The sequence below is a fragment of the Homo sapiens genome, chromosome 2 (genome assembly GCF_000001405.40).
Source record: "Homo sapiens chromosome 2, GRCh38.p14 Primary Assembly".
Classification (NCBI taxonomy): Eukaryota; Metazoa; Chordata; class Mammalia; order Primates; family Hominidae; genus Homo; species Homo sapiens.
In genome coordinates, this window is record NC_000002.12 from 230,103,303 (window position 1) to 230,122,564 (window position 19,262).

General features: G+C 40.4%; 1 long non-coding RNA gene across 1 annotated transcript in view; it reads left to right on the forward strand.

Annotated features, from left to right (window-relative positions):
- The window catches only part of LOC107985995 (uncharacterized), a 75,437-nt gene that overhangs the window by 36,564 nt on the left and 19,611 nt on the right, over positions 1-19,262 (forward strand). The window contains exons 3-4 of the long non-coding RNA XR_001739918.2: positions 8,331-8,424; positions 16,698-18,714. This is a non-coding gene — a long non-coding RNA (uncharacterized LOC107985995). The remainder of the gene's footprint in view (positions 1-8,330; positions 8,425-16,697; positions 18,715-19,262) is intronic.

The following is a 19,262-nucleotide window of genomic DNA, read 5'->3' on the forward strand; positions in this document are numbered from 1 at the left end:
TTGAAGAGACTGTTTTTTCTCCAGTGTATGTTCTTGGTGCCTTTGTCAAAAATGAGTTCACTATAGGCATGTGGATTTGTTTCTGGGTTCTCTATTCTGTTCCATTTGTCTATGTGTCTATTTTTATGACAGTATCATGCTGTTCTGGTTACTATAGCTCTGTAGCATAATTTGAAGTCAGGTAATGTGATTCCTCTAATTTTGTTCTTTTTTTTTTTTAAATTCTCTACTTAACACCTCATTTCTGAGGAGCCTAAGTTGATTTTTTTTATTATTATACTTTAAGTTCTGGGATACACGTGCAGAACATGCAGGTTTGTTACCTAGGTATACAGGTGCCATGGTGGTTTGCTGTACCCATCAACCCGTCATCTACATTAGGTATTTCTCCTAATGTTATCTCTCCCCTTACCCTCCACCCCCTGACAGGCCCTGGTGTGTGATGGTCCCCTCCCTGTGTCCATGTGTTTTCATTGTTCAACTCCCACTTATGAGTGAGAACATGTGATGTTCAGTTTTCTATTCCTGTGTTAGTTTGCTGAGAATGATGGCTTCCAGCTGCATCCATGTCCCTGCAGAGGACATGAACTCACTCTTTTTTGTGGCTGCATAGTATTCCATGGTGTATATGTGCCACATTTTCTTTATCCAGTATATCATTGATGGACATTTGGGTTGGTACCAAGTCTTTGCTATTGTGAATAGTGCTTCAATAAACATACATGTGCATGTGTCTTTATAGTAGAATGATTTATAATCCTTTGGCTATGTACCTAATAATGGGACTGCTGGATCAAATGGTATTTCTGGTTCTAGATCCTTGAGAAATTGCCACACTGTCTTCCACAATGGTTGAACTAATTTACACTCCCAACAACAGTGTAAAAGTGTTCCTATTTCTCCACATCCTCTCCAGCATCTATTGTTCCCTGACTTTTTAATGATCACCCTTCTAACTGGCGTGAGATGATATCTCATTGTGGTTTTGATTTGCATTTCTCTAATGACCAGTGATGATGAGCTTTTTTTCATATGCTTGTTGGCTGCATAAATGTCTTCTTTTGAGAAGTGTCTGTTCATATCCTTCACCCACTTTTTGATGGGGTTGTTTGTTTTTTTCTTGTAAATTTGTTTAAGTTCCTTGTAGATTTTGGATATTAACCGTTTGTCAGATGGATAGATTGCAAAAATTTCCCCCCTTTCTCTAGGTTGCCTGTTCACTCTGATGATAGTTTCTTTTGCTGTGCAGAAGCTTTTTAGTTTAATTAGATCCCATTTGTCTATTTTGGCTTTTGTTGCCATTGCTTTTGGTGTTTTAGTCATGAAGTCTTTGCCCATGCCTATGTCCTGAATAGTATTGCCTAGATTTTCTTCTAGGGTTTTTATGGTTTTAGGTCTTACATTTAAGTCTTTAATCCATCTTGAGTTAATTTTTGGATGAGGTGTAAGGAAGGGGTCCAGTTTCAGTTTTCTGCATATGGCTAGCCAGTTTCCCCAACACCATTTATTAAATAAGGAATCCTTTCCCCATGAAGGTGAAAGGAGTATTATTAGGAGTACTGACTCACATGATCACAGATGAAGTCCCATAATAGGCCATCTACAAGCTGAGGAGCAGGGAAGCCCGTCCAAGTCCCAAAACCTCAAAAGTAGGGAAGCCAACAGTTCAGCCTTCAGTCTGTGGCCAAAGGCCTGAGAGACCCTGGCAAACCACTGATGTTAGTCCAAGAGTCCAAAAGCCGAAGAACTTGGAGTCTGATATTTGAGGACAGGAAGCATCCAGCATGGGGAAAAGATGAAGGCTTGAAGACTCAGCAAGTCAAGTCTTTTCCACACTCTTCTGCCTGGTTTATTCTAGCCACTCTGGCAGCTGATTACACGGTGACCACCCAGATTGAGGGTGGGTCTGCCTCTCCTAGTCCACTGACTCAAATGTTAATCTCCTTTGGCAACATCTTCACAGACACACCTAGGAACAATACTTTGCATCCTTCAATCCAGTCAAGTTGACACTCAATATTAAGTGTCACATAGGCGCTTATAGCTATACATTTCCCTCTTAGTACTGCTTTCATTGTAGCCCATAGGTTTTGGTATGTTGTGCTGCCATTGTCCTTCATTTAGAAAATTTTTCAATTTTCTTGTTAATTTCATTGACTCACTGGTCATTCAGGAACATATTGCTTACTTTCCATGTGTTTATATAGTTTCAAAAATTCCTGTTGTTGTTCACTTCTCGTTTTATGAGAAATTCTGTATCAAGATAAGATACTTGATATTATTCCCATTTTTTGAATGTTTTAAGACTTGTTTTGTGCCCTAACATCTGTTCTATCCTTGAGAATGATCCATGTACTAAAGAGAAGAATGTGTATTCTGCAGCTGTTGGATAAAATGTTCTGTAAATATCTATTAGGTCCATTTGGTCTACAGTGCAGATGACATCCAATGTTTCTTTGTTGAGTTTCTGTGTGAAAGATCTGTCCAAAGCTGAAAGTGGGGTGTTGAAGTCTCCAGCTATTATTATATTAAGATCTGTCTCTCTCTTTAGCTCTATATGCTAAAGAGAGCATACAGAGTTCTGTTCATATATTTGCTTTATATAAAGCAATATGTAAATATTTGCTTTATATAAAGCAATATGTAAATATTTGCTTTATATAAAGCAATATGTAAATATTTGCTTTATATAAAGCAATATGTAAATATTTGCTTTATATGTCTGAGTGCCTCAGTGTTGGGTGCATATATTTACAATTGTTATATCCTGTAGCTAGACTGACCCCTTTATCATTACAAATGACCTTTTTTTGTCTCTTCTTACAGTTTTTGTCTTGAAATCTATTTTGTCTGATATAGATATAGCTGCCCCTGCTCTTTTTTGGTTTCCATTGGCATGGAATATCTTTTTACATACCTTTATTTTCAGTCTATGTGTATCTTTATAGGTGAAATGTGTTTCTTGTAGGCAACAGATCAATGGGTCTTGTTTTTTAAATCCATCCACCCACTTATGTCTTTTGATTAGAGAGTTTAGTCCATTTACATTCAATGTTATTATTGACAACTAGGGGCTTACTCCTGCCATTTTGTGATTTGTTTTCTGATTGTTTTGTGGTCTCCTTTTTCTTCTTTCCTTCCTTCATGTCTTCTTTTTAGTGAAGGTGATTTTCTCTGGTAGTATGATTTAGTTTCTTGCTTTTTGTTTTTTGCGCATCCACTGTTTGTATACTTTTTCTTTTAAAGTTACCATGAGGCTTGCAAATACTATTTTATAACCCACTATTTTAAACAGATGGCAACTTAACACTGATTACATAAAAAAACCAACCAAACAAACACACAAAAAGAAAACTAATACAAACTCTACAATTTAATTTCATTTTCCTGCTTTTTAACTTTTTGTTGTTTCTCTTTATGTCTTATTTTACTGTCTATGTCTTGAAAAGTTACTGTAATTATTATTCTTGATTGGGTCATCATTTAGTCTTTCTACTTAAGATAAGAGTAGTTTACACACCACAACTACAATGTTATAATAGTCTGTGTTTTTCTATGTCCTTACTATTACCAGTGAGTTTTGTTCCTTCAGATGATTTCTTTTCGCTCATTAACATCCTTTTCTGATTGAAGAACTTCCTTTAGCCTTTCTTGTAGGACAGGTTTGGTGGTGATGAAATTCCTCAGCTTTTGTTTGTCTGGGAAGGTCTTTATTTCTCCTTCATGCTTGAAGGATATTTTCATCAGATATAATATTCTAAGATAAAAGTTTTTTTTTCCCTTCAGCACTTTGAGTATGTCATGTCACTCTCTTCTGGCCTGTAAGGTTTCCATTGAAAAGTCTGCTGCCAGATGTATTGGAACTCCATTACATGTTATTTGTTTCTTTTCTCTTGCTGCTTTTAGAATCCTTCCTTTATCCTTGACCTTTGAGAGTTTCATTATTGAATGCCTTGAGGTAATCTTTGAGTTACATCAGCTTGCTGTTGTATAACTTTGTTGTACTTGAATTTTGATTTCTTTCTCTAGGTTTGGGAAATTCTCTGATATCCTTTTGAATAAACTTCCTATCCCTTTCTTCCTCCTCTTTTAAGGCCAAAAACTCTTTTTTTTTTTCTTTTTGAGGTGGAGTCTTGCTCTGTCACCCAAGCTGGTATGGAGTGGCACAATCTCAGCTCATTGCAACCTCTGCCTCTCAGGTTCAAGCTATTCTCCTGCCTCAGCCTCCCGAGTAGCTGGGATTATAGGTGTGCGCCACAACACCTGGCTAATTTTTGTATTTTTAGTAGAGATGGGGTTTCACCACATTGGCCAGGCTGGTCTTAAACTCATGACCTCAAGTGATCCACCTGCTTCGGCCTCTTAAAGTGCTGGGATTACAGGCGTGAGCCACTGTGCTTGGCAGGCAAAAAACTCTTAGATTTGCCATTTTGAGGCTATTTCCTAGATCTTTTAGGGTGCTTTATTCTTTTTTCTTTTGTCTCCTCTGACTGTGTATTTTCCAATAGTCTGTCTTCAAGCTCAGTAATTCTTCTGCTTGATCACCTCTGCTATAAAAGTCTCTGATGCATTCTTCTGTATGCCAATCGCATTTTTCAACTCCAGAATTTCTGCTTGATTCTTTTTAATTATTTTAATCTCTTTGTTAAATTTATCTGATGGAATTCTGAATCCCTTCTCTTTGTTATCTTCAATTTTTTTTTTTCAGTTTTCTCTAAACAACTATTTTAAATTCTCTGTCTGAAAGGTCTCATATCTTTTGTTACTCCAGGATTGGTCCCTGGTGCTCTGTTTAGTTCATTTGGTGAGGTCATGTTTTCCTGGATGGTGTTGATGCTGTCAGATGTTCTTTGGTATCCAGGCATTGAAGATTTAGATACTTATTGTAGCTTTTGCAGTCTGGGCTTGTTTGGGCCCATCCTTCTTAAGGAAGCTTTTCAGATATTTGAAGGGACTTGGACCCAAAGCCCAATATTGCTGTAGTTTTTACAGACTCATTGAGGTACCACCTTGGTGGTCTTGGATAATTCAGAGAAGAAAGAGAGTCTCTCTCCCTCTTTGCTGAGCAGCCTGGAACTGGGGATGTGGTGATATAGGCACTCTTGTGGCCACCACCACTGCAACTGTGCTGGGTCAAGCCTGAAGCCAGCCCAGCACTGGGTCTTGCCCAAGGCCTGCTAGAACCACTACCTGGCTACCACCTATGTTCATGCAAGGCCATAGGGCTCTATGATCAGCAGGTGGCAAAGCCAGCCAGATTTATGTCCTTCCCTTCAGGGCAGTGAGTTCCCCCAGGCCCTAGGCAGGTCCAGAGATATTGTCTGGGAGCCAGGGATTAGAGTCAAAAACCTTAGAAATTTGCTAATATTCTATTTTACTGCAACTAAGCTGGCACTCAAACCACAATACAAAGTCCTTCTCACTCTTTCCTTCCCTTTCCACAGGCAAAGGAGCCTCTCTCTGTGGCCACCACCACCACTGGCCTATGGGAGGTTTTTCCAGGCCACCACCGATGTTCACTTAAAGAACAGGGGCTCTTGAGTCAGCTTGTGGTGAGTGCTGCCAGGCCTGGGACTCACCCCTCAGGGCAGTGGGCTCCCCTTTGGCTCAGGGCAGGTCCAGAAATGCTGTCCAAGAGCCTAGGCCTGGACTCAGAGACCCCAAGAGCCTTCTTGTTGCTTGACCCCACTGTGGCCAAGCTGGTACCTAAGGTGCAAGACAAACTCCCCTTTACTTTTCCCCCTGCTTTTCTCAAACAGGAGGAAATTTTTGCTGTAGTCACCACAGCTGGGAATGTGCTGGGTCACACTTGTAGTCAGCACGTCTCAGAGGCCAAGGCCCACAGTGTTACTGGTGATTATCCAGTGCCCAAGGGTTCTTTATTCAGCAGGTAATGAATCTTACCAGGACTGGGTCCTTCTCTTCAAGATAGTGGGCTCCCTTTTGGCCCGATGTGTGTTTAGAAATGTCTGAGAGCTAGGGCCTGGAATGGGGAATTCATGACTCTGCACAGTGCCCTATCATATTGTGGCTGAGCTGGTACCCGAAATGCAAGACAAAGTCACTGTTACTCTTCACAGTGAAAGACTTTTGTTGCTGTGAGCTACACTGCCTGTGGCTGGGAAAGGGGAGGTGCAAGTACTCCTGTAGCTACCCTGGCTAGTGTCTTCCTAGGTCACCTGCCACCTTAGTCCTATGGCTCTGAGCCCAGCCCGACACTGGAAGTTACCTAGGAATTGCAGACCTTGTGTTCTAGGCTGCCTTTCAAGTTTACCTAGGACCCCAGAGGACTTTGGCTTACAGTGGCGAGGCTTGCTGAGAGACTCAGTTGCTGACTGCTGGGATGGGTGATTCCCCTCTGACTAGGTCTGGTCCAAATGCCCCCTCTGTGCACAGACACTGCCTGAACCCAGCATGGCTTTGTTCTCTGCTGTGACAGGGCAACACTGAGTTCATTGTAAAGTCCCCCAGTTGCCCCACCCTCCCTCCCTAAAGTGCACAGATCGCTATGGGGATGGGTGAGGGATGGCGTTGGGAATTCAAGACTGTCTCTCCAGGCTGGGCACAATGGCCCATGCCTGTAATCCCAGCACTTTGGAAGGCTGAGGTGAGCTCATCACTTGAGGCCATGAGTTAGAGACTAGCCTGGCCAACATGGTGAAACCTTGTCTCTACTAAAAATACAAAAATTACACGGGTGTGGTGGCACATGCCTGTAATCCCAGCTACTCAGGGGGCTGAGACACGAGGATCCCTTGAACCAGGGAGGCAGAGGTTGCAGTGAGCCAAGACTGTGCGACTCACTGCACCTCCAGCCTGGGTGACAGAGTGAGACTTGGTTTCCAAAACAAACAAACAAAAAACCCTGTTTCTTCTATTCTTTCCAATGTCTCTTTCTGCAGTATGAAGTTACAGCCAAGTACTGTGAGTGCTCACCCAATTTTTGGTTCTTGTGACGGTGTTATTCTATGTGCAGGTATTTGTTAAATTTAGATGTTCCTTGGGGCTGGCAAATGGTGTAGGCTTCTATTCTGTTATCTTGCTTGCTCTACTCCCTCAAGGTTCATTCTTTTTGAATATATATATATATATATATATATATATATATATATATATATATACACACACACTTTTGAGCATATATATATACACACACACATACACACACACATATACATATATATATATGGGATATATAGTCATAGTCAATGGAACCAATAATAGTATGGAGTACATACATATATATGACTATATATGTATAATACAATTGTTGCCTCACTATTTGTTGAAAAGATTTTCCATTTACTTGACTTTTACTTGATTTTCTATGAATCGAGGAGTATTTTGACTTTCAAGTTTTGTGATTTAAGAATTACATTTAGTAAGGCTATAGGTGCCATACATAGTGAGTCCTCTGATGGATCTGGACAAAATAAATGGAAAATGTTTTGGAAAGGATTTACCATTCTAGTTGCCATTAAGAACATTCGTGATTTATGGGAGGAGGTCAAAATATCAAAATTAATAGGGTTTGGAAGAAGTTGATTCCAACCCTCATGGATGACTCTGAGGGGTTCAGGACTTCAGTGGAGAAAGTAACTGCAGATGTGGTGCAAGTATTGAGAGAAGGAGAATTAGAAATGGAGCCTGAAGATGTGATGGAATTGCTGCAATCCTATGATAAAGCTTGAATGGATGAGGAGTTGCAGATAAGCCACTTACAGGTAAGTAAGCAAAGAATATGGTTTCTTAAGCTGGAATCTACTCCTGGAAAAGATGCTGTGAACACTATTTAAATGACAACAAAGAAGTTCTCACTCATTTGTGGGAGCTAAAAAAACTGAACACATGGAGGTAAAGAGTGGAAAAATAGATAACAGAGATTGGGAAGGGTGAGTGGGGAGGATGGGCAGGATGAAGAGAAGTGGGTTAAAGGGTACAAATAAACGCAGTAAGACAGAAGAAATAAATTCAGTGTTTGATAGCAGAGTAGGATGACTATAGCTAATGAAAATTCATTGTACTCAGGTAATGGACACCTTAAATATCCTGACTTGATAACTATGCATTGTTTACATGTAACAAAATTTCTCGTGTACCCCATACATTTGTACAAATTAAAAAAAAAAAGACTCTCAAAGAAAAAAAAGAACGTAGAATGTCACATAAACTATATTACACAAACCTGCAAGGTTTGAGACAATTGACTCAAATTTTGAAAGAAGTTTTATTGTGGATAAAATGCTATCAAATGTCATTGCATGTTACCGATAAATATTTCGTGAAAGGAGAAGTGAATCAATGTGGCAAACTATATTGTCTTATTTTAGGAAATTGCTACAGCCATTCCAACCTTCAGCAGCCGCCATCTTGATCAGTCAGCAGCCATCAACATCAAGGCAAGAACCTCCTTCAGCAAAAAAGGTTATGACTCACTGAAGGCTCAGATTATCATTAGCATTTTTTAGCAAAGTATTTTAAAATTAAGGTGTGAACATTTTAAAAGACATAATGCTATTGCACTCTTAATAGATTACAGCAAAGTATAAACATACCTTTTTTTATTAACTGGGGAACCATACAATTAGTGTGACTCACTTTATTATGATATTTGCTTTATTGCTGGGTGGTTTGGATGAAGCCTGTAATGTCTCTGAGGTATGCCGGTGTACATATATATATGTGTGTGTGTATATGTGTGTGTATATGTGTATGTGTATGTGTGTGTGTACATATATATGTGTGTATGTGTGTATATATATATATATATATTATATTTTAAGTTCTAAGATACATGTGCACAACTTGCAGGTTTGTTACATAGGTATACATGTGCCATGTTGGTTTGCTGCACCCATCAACTCGTCATTTACATCAGGTATTTCTCCTAATGCTATCTCTCCCCTTACCCTCCACTCCCTGACAGGCCCCGTTGTGTGATGTTCCCCACCCTGTGTCCGTGTATTCTCTTTGTTCAACTCCCACCTATGAGTGAGAACATGTGGTGTTTGGTTTTGTGTCCTTGTAAAAGTTTGCTTAGAATGATGGTTTCCAGCTTCATCCATGTTCCTGCAAAGGACATGAACTCACTCTTTCTTATGGCTGCAGAGTGTTCCATGGTATATATGTGCCACATCTTCTTAATCCAGTCTATCATTGATGGACATTTGGGTTGGTTCCAAGTCTTTGCTGTTGTGAATAGTGCTGCAATAAACATATGTGTGCATGTGTCTTTATAGTAGAATGATTTATCGTCCTTTGGCTATATACCCAGTAATGGGGTCACTGGGTCAAATGGTATTTCTAGTTCTAGATCCTTGAGGAATTGCCACACTGTCTTCCACAATGGTTGAACTAATTTACATTCCCAACAACAGTGTAAAAGCATTCCTATTTCTCCACATCCTCTCCAGCATCTGTTGTTTCCTGACTTTTTAATGATTGCCATTCTAACTGGCATGAGATGGTATCAAATTGCGGTTTTGATTTGCATTTCTCTAATGACCAGTGATGATGAGCTTTTTTTCACATGTCTGTTGGCTGCATAAATGTCTTCTTTTGAGAAGTGTCTGTTCATATCTTTTGCCCGCTTTTGAAGGGGTTGTTTGTTTTTTTCCTGTAAATTTGTTTAAGTTCTTTGTAGATTCTGGAAATTAGCCCTTTGTCAGATGGATAGATTATAAAAATTTTCTCAGATTCTGTAGGTTGCCTGTTCACTCTGATGATAGTTTCTTTTGCTGTGCAGAAGCTCTTTAGTTTAATTAGATCCCATTTGTTTATTTTGGCTTTTGTTGCCATTGCTTTTGGTGTTTTAGTCATGAAGTCATTGCCCATGCCTATGTCCTGAATGGTATTGCCTAGGTTTTCTTCTAGGGTTTTTATGGTGTTAGGTCTTATATTTAAGTCTTTAATCCATCTTGAGTTAATTTTTGTATAAAGTGTAAGGAAGGGATCCAGTTTCAGCTTTCTGCATATGGCTAGCCAGTTTTCCCAGCACCATTTATTAAATAGGAAATCCTTTCCCCATTTCTTGTTTTTGTCACGTTTGTCAAAGATCAGATGGTTAGGGTAGATGTGTGGTGCTATTTCTGAGGCCTCTGTTCTGTTCCATTGGTCTATATATCTTGTTTTGGTACCAGTACCATGCTGTTTCGGTTACTGTAGCCTTGTAGTATAGTTTGAAGTCAGGTAACATGATGCCTCCAGCTTTGTTCTGTTTGCTTAGGATTGTCTTGGCTATGCAGGCTCTTTTTTGGTTCTATATGAACTTTAAAGTAGATTTTTCCAATTCTGTGAAGAAAGTCAGTGGTAGCTTGATGGGGATAGTATTGAATCTATAAATCACCTTGGGCAGTATGGCCATTTTCATGATATTGATTCTTCCTATCCATGAGCAGGGAATGTTCTTCCATTTGTTTGTGTCCTCTTTTATTTTGTTGAGCAGTGGTTCGTAGTTCTCCTTGAAGAGGTCCTTCACATCCCTTGTAAGTTGGATTCCTAGGTATTTTACTCTCTTTGTAGTAATTGTGAATGGGAGCTCATTCATGATTTGGCTCTCTGTCTATTATTGGTGTATAGGAATGCTTGTGATTTTTGCACATTGATTTTGTATCCTGAGACTTTGCTGAAGTTGCTTATCAGTTTAAGGAGATTTTGGGCTGAGACAATGGGGTTTTCTAAATATACAATCATGTCATCTGCAAACAGGGACAATTTGACTTCCTCTTTTCCTAATTGAATACCCTTTATTTCTTTCTCTTGCCTGATTGCCCTAGCAGAACTTCCAACACTATGTTGAATAGGAGTGGTGACAGATGGCATCCTTGTCTTGTGCCAGTTTTCAAAAGGAATGCTTCCAGTGTTTGCCTATTCAGTATGGTATTGGCTGTGGGTTTGTCATAAATAGCTCTTATTATTTTGAGATATGTCCCATCAACACCTAGTTTATTGAGAGTTTTTAGCATGAAGGGTGGTTAAATTTTGTCGAAGACCTTTTCTGCATCTATTGAGATAAACACGTGGTTTTTGTCATTGGTTCTATTTATGTGATGGATTACGTTTATTGATTTGCATATGTTGAACCAGCCTTGCATCCCGGGGATGAAACCGACTTGATCATGGTGGATAAGATTTTGATGTGCTGCTGGATTCAGTTTGCCAGTATTTTATTGAAGATTTTTGCATTGATATTCATCAGGGATATTGGCCTAAAATTATCTTTTTTTGTTGTTGTTTCTCTGCCAGGCTTTGTTACCAGGATGATGCTGGCCTCATAAAATGAGTTAGGGAGGATTCCCTCTTTTTCTATTGATTGGAATAGTTTCAGAAGGAATGATACCAGCTCCTCTTTGTACCTCTGGTAGAATTCGGCTGTGAATCCATCTGGTCCTGGACTTTTTTTGATTGGTAGGCTATTAATTATTGCCTCAATTTCAATTAATTTCAATAATTAATTATTGCCTCAGTTGTTATTGGTCTATTCAGAGATTCAACTTTTTCCTGGTTTAGTCTTGGGAGGGTGTATTTGTCCAGGAATTTATGCATTTCTTCTAGATTTTCTAGTTTCTTTGCGTAGAGGTGTTTATAGTATTCTCTGATGGTAGTTTGTATTTCTGTGGGATCGGTGGTGATATCCCCTTTATCATTTTTTATTGCGTCTATTTGATTCTTCTCTCTTTTCTTCTTTATTAGTCTTGCTAGCAGTCTATCAATTTTGTTGATCTTTTCAAAAAACCGGCTCCTGGATTCATTTATATTTTGAAGGGTTTTTTGTGTCTCTATCTCCTTCAGTTCTGTTCTGATCTTAGTTATTTCTTGACTCCTGCTAGCTTTTGAATTTGTTTGCTCTTGCTTCTCTAGTTCTTTTAATTGTGATGTTAGGGTGTCAATTTTAGATCTTTCCTGCTTTCTCTTGTGGGCATTTAGTGCTATAAATTTCCCTCTACACACTGCTTTAAACATGTCCCAGAGATTCTGGTACGTTGTGTCTTTGTTCTCATTTGTTTCAAAGAACATGTTTATTTCTGCCTTCATTTCGTTATTTACCCAGTAGTCATTCAGGAGCAGGTTGTTCAGTTTCCATGTAGTTGTGTGGTTTTGAGTGAGTTTCTTAATCCTGAGCTCTAATTTGATTGCACTGTGGTCTGAGAGACAGTTTGTTGTGATTTCTGTTCTTTTACATTTGCTGAGGAGTGTTTTACTTCCAATTATGTGGTCAATTTTAGAATAAGTGTGATGTGGTGCTGAGAAGAATGTATATTCTGTTGATGTGGGGTGTAGGGTTCTGTAGATGTGTATTAGGTCTGCTTGGTCCAGAGCTGAGTTCAAGTCCTGGATATCCTTGTCAACCTTCTGTCTTGTTGATCTAATATTGACAGTGGGGTGTTAAATTCTCCCATTATTATTGTGTGGGAGTCTAAGTCTGTTTGTAGGTCTCTAAGACTTGCTTTATGAATCTGGGTGCTCCTCTATTGGGTGCATATATATTTAGTATAGTTAGCTCTTGTTGAATTGATCCCTTTACCATTATGTAGTGGCCTTCTTTGTCTCTTTTGATCTTTGTTGGTTTAAAGTCTGTTTTATCACAGACTAGGATTGCAACCCCTGCTTTTTTTTTTTTTTTTTTTTTTTTTTGCTTTCCATTTGCTTGGTAGATCTTCCTCCATCCCTTTATTTTGAGCCTATGTGCATCTCTGCACGTGAAATGGGTCTCCTGAATACAGCACACTGATGGGTCTTGACTCTTTATCCAATTTGCCAGTGGGTGTCTTTTAATTGGGGTATTTAGCCCATTTACATTTAAGGTTAATATTGTTGTGTTTGAATTTGATCTTGTCATTATGATATTAGCTGGTTATTTTGCCTGTTAATTGATGCAGTTTCTTCATAGTGTCCATGGTCTCTACAATTTGGCATGTTTTTGCAGTGACTGGTACTGATTGTTCCTGTCCATGTTTAGTGCTTCCTTCAGGAGCTCTTGTAAGGCAGGCCTGGTGGTGACAAAGTCTCTCAGCATTTGCTTGTCTGTAAAGGATTTTATTTCTCCTTCACTTATGAAGCTTATTTTGGCTGGGTATGAGATTCTGGGTTGAAAATTATTTTCTTTAAGAATGTTGAATATTGGCCGCTACTCTCTTCTGGCTTGTAGGGTTTCTGCTGAAAGATCCGCTGTTAGTCTGATGGGCTTCCCTTTGTGGGTAACCCAACGTTTCTCCCTGGCTGCCCTTAACATTTTTTCCTTCATTTCAACCTTGGTGAATCTGACAATTATGTGTCTTGGGGTTGCTCTTATTGAGGAGTATCTTTGTGGTGTTCTCTGTATTTCCTGAATTTGAATGTTGGCCTGCTTTTCTAGGTTAGGGAAGTTCTCCTGGATAATATCCTGAAGTGTGTTTTCTAACTTGGTTCCATTCTCGCTGTCACTTTCTGGTACACCAGTCAAACATATATTTGGTCTTTTCACATAGCCCCATATTTCTTGGAGGCTTTGTTCATTTATTTTCACTCTTTTTTCTCTAATCTTGTCTTCTCACTTTGTTTCATTAATTTGATCTTCAATCACTGATATTCTTTCTTATGCTTGATCAAATCGGCTATTGAAGCTTCTGCATGCATTGCAAAGTTCTTGTGCTGTGTTTTTCAGCTCCATCGGGTCATTTAAGGTCTTCTCTACACTGTTTATTCTAGTTAGCCATTCGTCTAACCTTTTTTCAATGTTTTTAGCTTTTTTGCGATGGGTTAAAATGTGCTCCTTTAGCTCGGAGAAGTTTGTTGTTACCGACCTTCTGAAGCCTACTTCTGTCAACTCGTCAAACTCATTCTCCTTCCAGTTTTGTTCCCTTGCTGGCGAGGAGCTGCGATCCTTTGGAGGAGAAGAAGTGCTGTGGTTTTTGGAATTTTCAGCTTTTCTGCTCTGGTCTCTCCCCATCTTTGTGGTTTTATCTACCTTTGGTCTTTGATGATGGTGACCCACAGATGGGGTGTTGCTGTGGATGTCCCTTTTGTTGATGTTGATGCTATTCCTTTCTGTTTGTTAGTTTTCCTTCTAACAGTCAGGACCCTCAGCTGCAAGTCTGTTGGAGTTTGCTGGAAGTCCATTCCAGACCCTGTTTGACTGGGTATCACCAGCGGAGGCTGAAGAACAGCAAATATTGCTGCCTGATCCTTCCTCTGGAAGCTTTGTCCCAGACAGGCACCCTCCTGTTTGAAGTGTCTGTTGGCCCCTACTGGGAGGTATCTCCCAGTCAGGCTACATGGGGTTCAGGGACCCACTTGAGGAGGCAGTCTGTCCGTTCTCAGAGCTTGAACGCTGTGCTGAAACAACCAGTGCTCTCTTCAGAGCTGTCAGACAGGGACATTTAAGTCTGCAGAAGCTGTCTGCTGCCTTTTGTTTTGCTATGCCCTGCCCTCCGAGGTGGAATCTAGAGTGGCAGTAGTCCTTGCTGAGCTATGGTTGGCTCTGCCCAGTTCAAGCTTCCCAGACACTTTGTTTACACTGTGAGATACTCAAGCCTCAGCAATGGCGGATGCCCCTCACCCCATCAAGCTGCAGCATCGCAGGTTGATCTCAGACTGCTGCACTAGCAGTGAGCAAGGCTCTGTGGGCCTGGGACCCACCGAGCCAGGCACAGGAGGGTATCTCCTGGTCTGCCAGTTGCTAAGACCATGGGAGAAGCACATTATTTGGTCAGGAGTGTACCAGTTCTCCAGGTACAGTCTGTCATGGCTTCCCTTGGCTATGAAAGGGAAAACCCCCAACCCTTTGCACTTCCTGAGTGAGGTGATGCCCCGTCCCACTTCAGCTCACTCTCCATGGGCTGCACCCACTGTCCACCCAGTCCCAATGAGATGAACCAGGTACCTCAGTTGGAAATGCAGAAATCATTTGTCTTCTGTGTCATTCTTGCTGGGAGCTGCAGACTGGAGCTGTTCCTATTCGGCCATCTTGGAAGTGACCTCGTACATATATTTCAAAAATATAACTTACTTGCAGCCGGGGATGGTGGCTCACACCTGTAATTCCAGCACTTTGGGAGGCTGAGGCAGGTGGATCACGAGGTCAAGAGATCGAGACCATGGCGGCCAATATGGTGAAACCCCATCTCTACTAAAAATACAAAAATTAGCTGGGCATGGTGGTGCCCCCCTGTAGTCCCAGCTACTTGGGAGGCTAAGGCAGGAGAATTGCTTGAACCAGGGAGGTGGAGGTTGCAATGAGCCCAGATTGAGCCACTGCACTCCATCCTGGCAACAGAGTGAGACTCCATCTCAAAAAAAAAAAAAAAAAATATATATATATATATATATATATTTGATGTTATATATATAACTATATATATATATTTCCACCAAAGCCCAGTAATAGGCCTGGAGCTGTCTCTCAAAAGGAGAGTAGTTATCTGCAGAAGATGGCAGGGCCTTGCTCCAAAATCCTAGAGGCCTCCACTTTAGGCCTCACCTATGTGGGCCTACCAAAGGCTCCAAACAGCATCCCTGTCTGCCACTGACACCTCAAGCACCACTGGATTTGCTGGGTCATATGGCCTAAGTGGCAGAGCAGCTTGCACAGCTCTCTGTACATATATATATATATAACTTAATAAGTTATATATATAACACATATAGAACTTATTAAGTTATATAATAACTATGTATATAACTATATATAACTATTATATAACTTAATAAGATATATAACTATTATATAACTTAATAAGTTATATATAACTATTATATATAACTTAATAAGTTATATATAACTATTATATAACTTAATAAGTTATATATAACTATTATATAACTTATTAAGTTATATATAACTATATATAACTTAATAAGTTATATATAACTATTATATAACTTAATAAGTTATATATAACTATTATATAACTTAATAAGTTATATATAACTATTATATAACTTAATAAGTTATATATAACTATATATAACTTATATACAACTTATTAAGCTATATATATAGTTATTAAGTTATATATATATAACTATATATATAACTTAAGTTAACTATATATATAACTTATTTGCATGTTCATAGGTACAGGTCAATAAATACTTAAAATTTGTAAGAACTTTTAAAATATAAGAATTTTTTGTTACATATGTATTGAAATTGTTTTAAAGATTTTTTCCTTTTATGGGAAAAACACTACATTGAGATACAAATTATGTGTTATATCTTAGAACCCAGTAGATACTTCTGCAGCAACTTTCTAGTAACCTTTTAAAAAGAGATAAAATGCACATCTGGAAAGAAACATATAGATGCTGTGATGGTTAATACTGAGTGTCAACTTGATTGGATTGAAGGATACAAAGTATTGATCCTGGGTGTGTCTGTGAGGGTGTTGCCAAAGGAGAATAACATTTGAGTCAGTGGGCTGGGGGAGGCAGATCCATCCTTCATCTGGTGGGCACAATATAATCAGCTGCCAGGGAATATAAAGCAGGTAGAAAAACATGAAAAGGAGAGACTGGCATATCCTCCCAGTGTACATCTTTCTCCTGTGCTGGATGCCTCCTGCCCTTGAACATCGGACTCCAAGTTCTTCAGTTTTGGGACTCAGACAGGCTCTCCTTGCTCCTCAGCTTGCAGACAGCCTATTGTGGAAGCTTGTTATCTTGTAAGTTAATACTTAATAAACTCTCATATATATCCTATCATTTCTTTCCCTCTACAGAACCCTGACTAATACAGATTTTGGTACCAGGAGTGGGGTCACAAACAGGAGAAGGCTCTGCAACAGGTCCAGGCTGCTGTGAAGCTGCTCTGCCACTTAGGCCATATGACCCAGCAAATCCAGTGGTGCTTGAGGTGTCAGTGGCAGACAGGGATGCTGTCTGGAGCCTTTGGTAGGCCTCCATAGGTGAGGCCTAGAGCAGAGGCCTCTAGGATTTTGGAGCAAGGCCCTGCCATCTTCTGCAGATAACTACTCTCCTTTTGAGAGACAGCTCTGGGCCTATTACTGGTCTTTGGTGGAAACTTGTTTGACTATGGATCATCAAATCACCATGTGACCTGAACTACCTATCATTAACTGGGTGCTTTCTGACCCATCTAGCCATAAAGTGGGTCATGCACAGCAGCATTTCATCATCAAATGGAAGTGGTATATATGTGATTGGGCTCGAGCAGATCCTGAAGGCATAAGTAAGTTGCATGAGGAAGTGGCTCAAATGTCCATGGTCTCCACTCCTGCCACCATGCCTTTTCTCCCCTAGCCTGCACTGATGACCTCATGGAGCATTCCCTATGATGGTCAGAGGAAGTGAAGACTAGGGCATGGTTCACAGATGGCTCTGCATGATATGCAGACACCACCCGAAAGTGGACAGCTGCAGTACTACAGCTCCTTTCTAGGACATCCCTGAAGGACAGGGGTGAAGGGAAATCTTCCCAGTTGGCAGAACTTTGAACAGTGCACCTGGTTGTGCACTTTGCATGGAAGGAGAAATGGCCAGATGTGCGATTATATACTGATTTGTGGGCTGTAGTCAATGGTTTGGCTGGATGGTCAGGGACTTGGAAGAAGCATGATTGGAAAATTGGTGACAGAAATTTAGGGAAGAGGTATGTGGATGGACCTCTTGGAGTGGTCAAAAGTGTGAAGATATCCCATGTGAGTGCTTTGTGAGTGCTCACCAATGGTGACCTCAGCAGAGGAGGATTTTAATAATCAAGTGGACAGGATGACCCATTCTGTGGACACCACTCAGCCTCTTTACCCAGCCATCCCTGTCATCACCCAATGGGCCCATGAACAAAGTGGCCATGGTGGCAGGGATGGAGGTTATGCTTGGGCTCAGCAACATGGACTTTCACTCACCAAGGCTGACCTGGCTACAGCCACTGCTGAGTGTCCAATTTGCCAGAAGAAGAGATCAACACTGAGCCCTTGATATGGCACCATTGCTCGGGGAGAACAGCCAGCTACCTGGTGGCAGGTTGATTATATTGGACCTCTTCCATCATGAAAAGGGTAGAGGTTTGTCCTCACTGGAACAGACACTTACTCTGGATATGGGTTTGCCTATCCTGCATACAATGCTTCTGCCAAGACTACTAGCCGTGGACTCACGGACTGCCTTATCCACCGTCATGGTAGTCCACACTGCATTGCCTCTGACCAAGGCACTCACTTTATGGCTAAAGAAGGGCGGCAGTGGGCTCATGCTCATGGAATTCACCTGTCTTACCATGTTCCCCATAATCCTGAAGCAGCTGGGTTGATAGAGTGGTGGTATGGCCTTTTGAAGTCACAATTAAAATGCCAACTAGGTGACAATACTTTGCAGGGCTGGGGCAAAGTTCTCCAGAAGGCCGTGTATGCTCTGAATCAGTGTCCAATATATGGTACTCTTTCTCCCGTAGCCAGGATTCATGGGTCCAGGAATCAAGGGGTGGAAGTGGAAGTGGCACCACTCACCATCACCCATAGTGATCCACTAGCAAAATTTTTCTTCCTGTTCTTGTGACATTACGTTCTGCTGGCCTAGAGGTCTTAGTTCCAGAGGGAGGAATGCTGCCAGCAGGAGACACAACAACGATTCCATTAAAGTGGAAGTTAAGATGGCTACCTCGACACTTTGGGCTCCTCCTACCTTTAAGTCAACAGGCTAAGAAGGGAGTTACAGTGTTAGCTGGGGTGATTGACCTGGACTATCAAGATGAAATCAGTCTACTACTCCACAACAGAGGTAAGGAAGAATATGCATGGAATACAGGAGATCCATTAGGGCATCTCTTAGTATTACTATGCCCTGTGATTAAGGTCAATGGGAAACGACAACAGCCCAATCCAGGAAGGACTACAATTGGCCCAAACCCCTCAGGAATGAAGGTTTGGGTCACTCCACCAGGAAAAAAACCACAACCCACTGAGGTGCTTGCTGAAGGCAAAGGGAATACAGAATGGGTAGTAGAAGAAGGTAGTCATCAATACCAGCTATGACCACATGACCAGTTGCAGAAGTGGGGACTGTAATTGTCATGAGTATTTCCTCCTTCTTTTGTTAAAAACACGTCTGTGCATGTATACACTTGTATTAAGAAAATATCTTTATTTTATTTCCTTTTTTTACCATGTGACAAAAGATTTATTGACTTGGTATCAGCATTTGTGTATTGTTAACTTTGTGTAATAGTATTTGGGTTGGGGATTGGTGCATTTCTGGTTGTACAAAGGATAATTGTATTATTTTAGATGTAATTATGACCTGACCTTATTATTGTCATTGATCTCAGG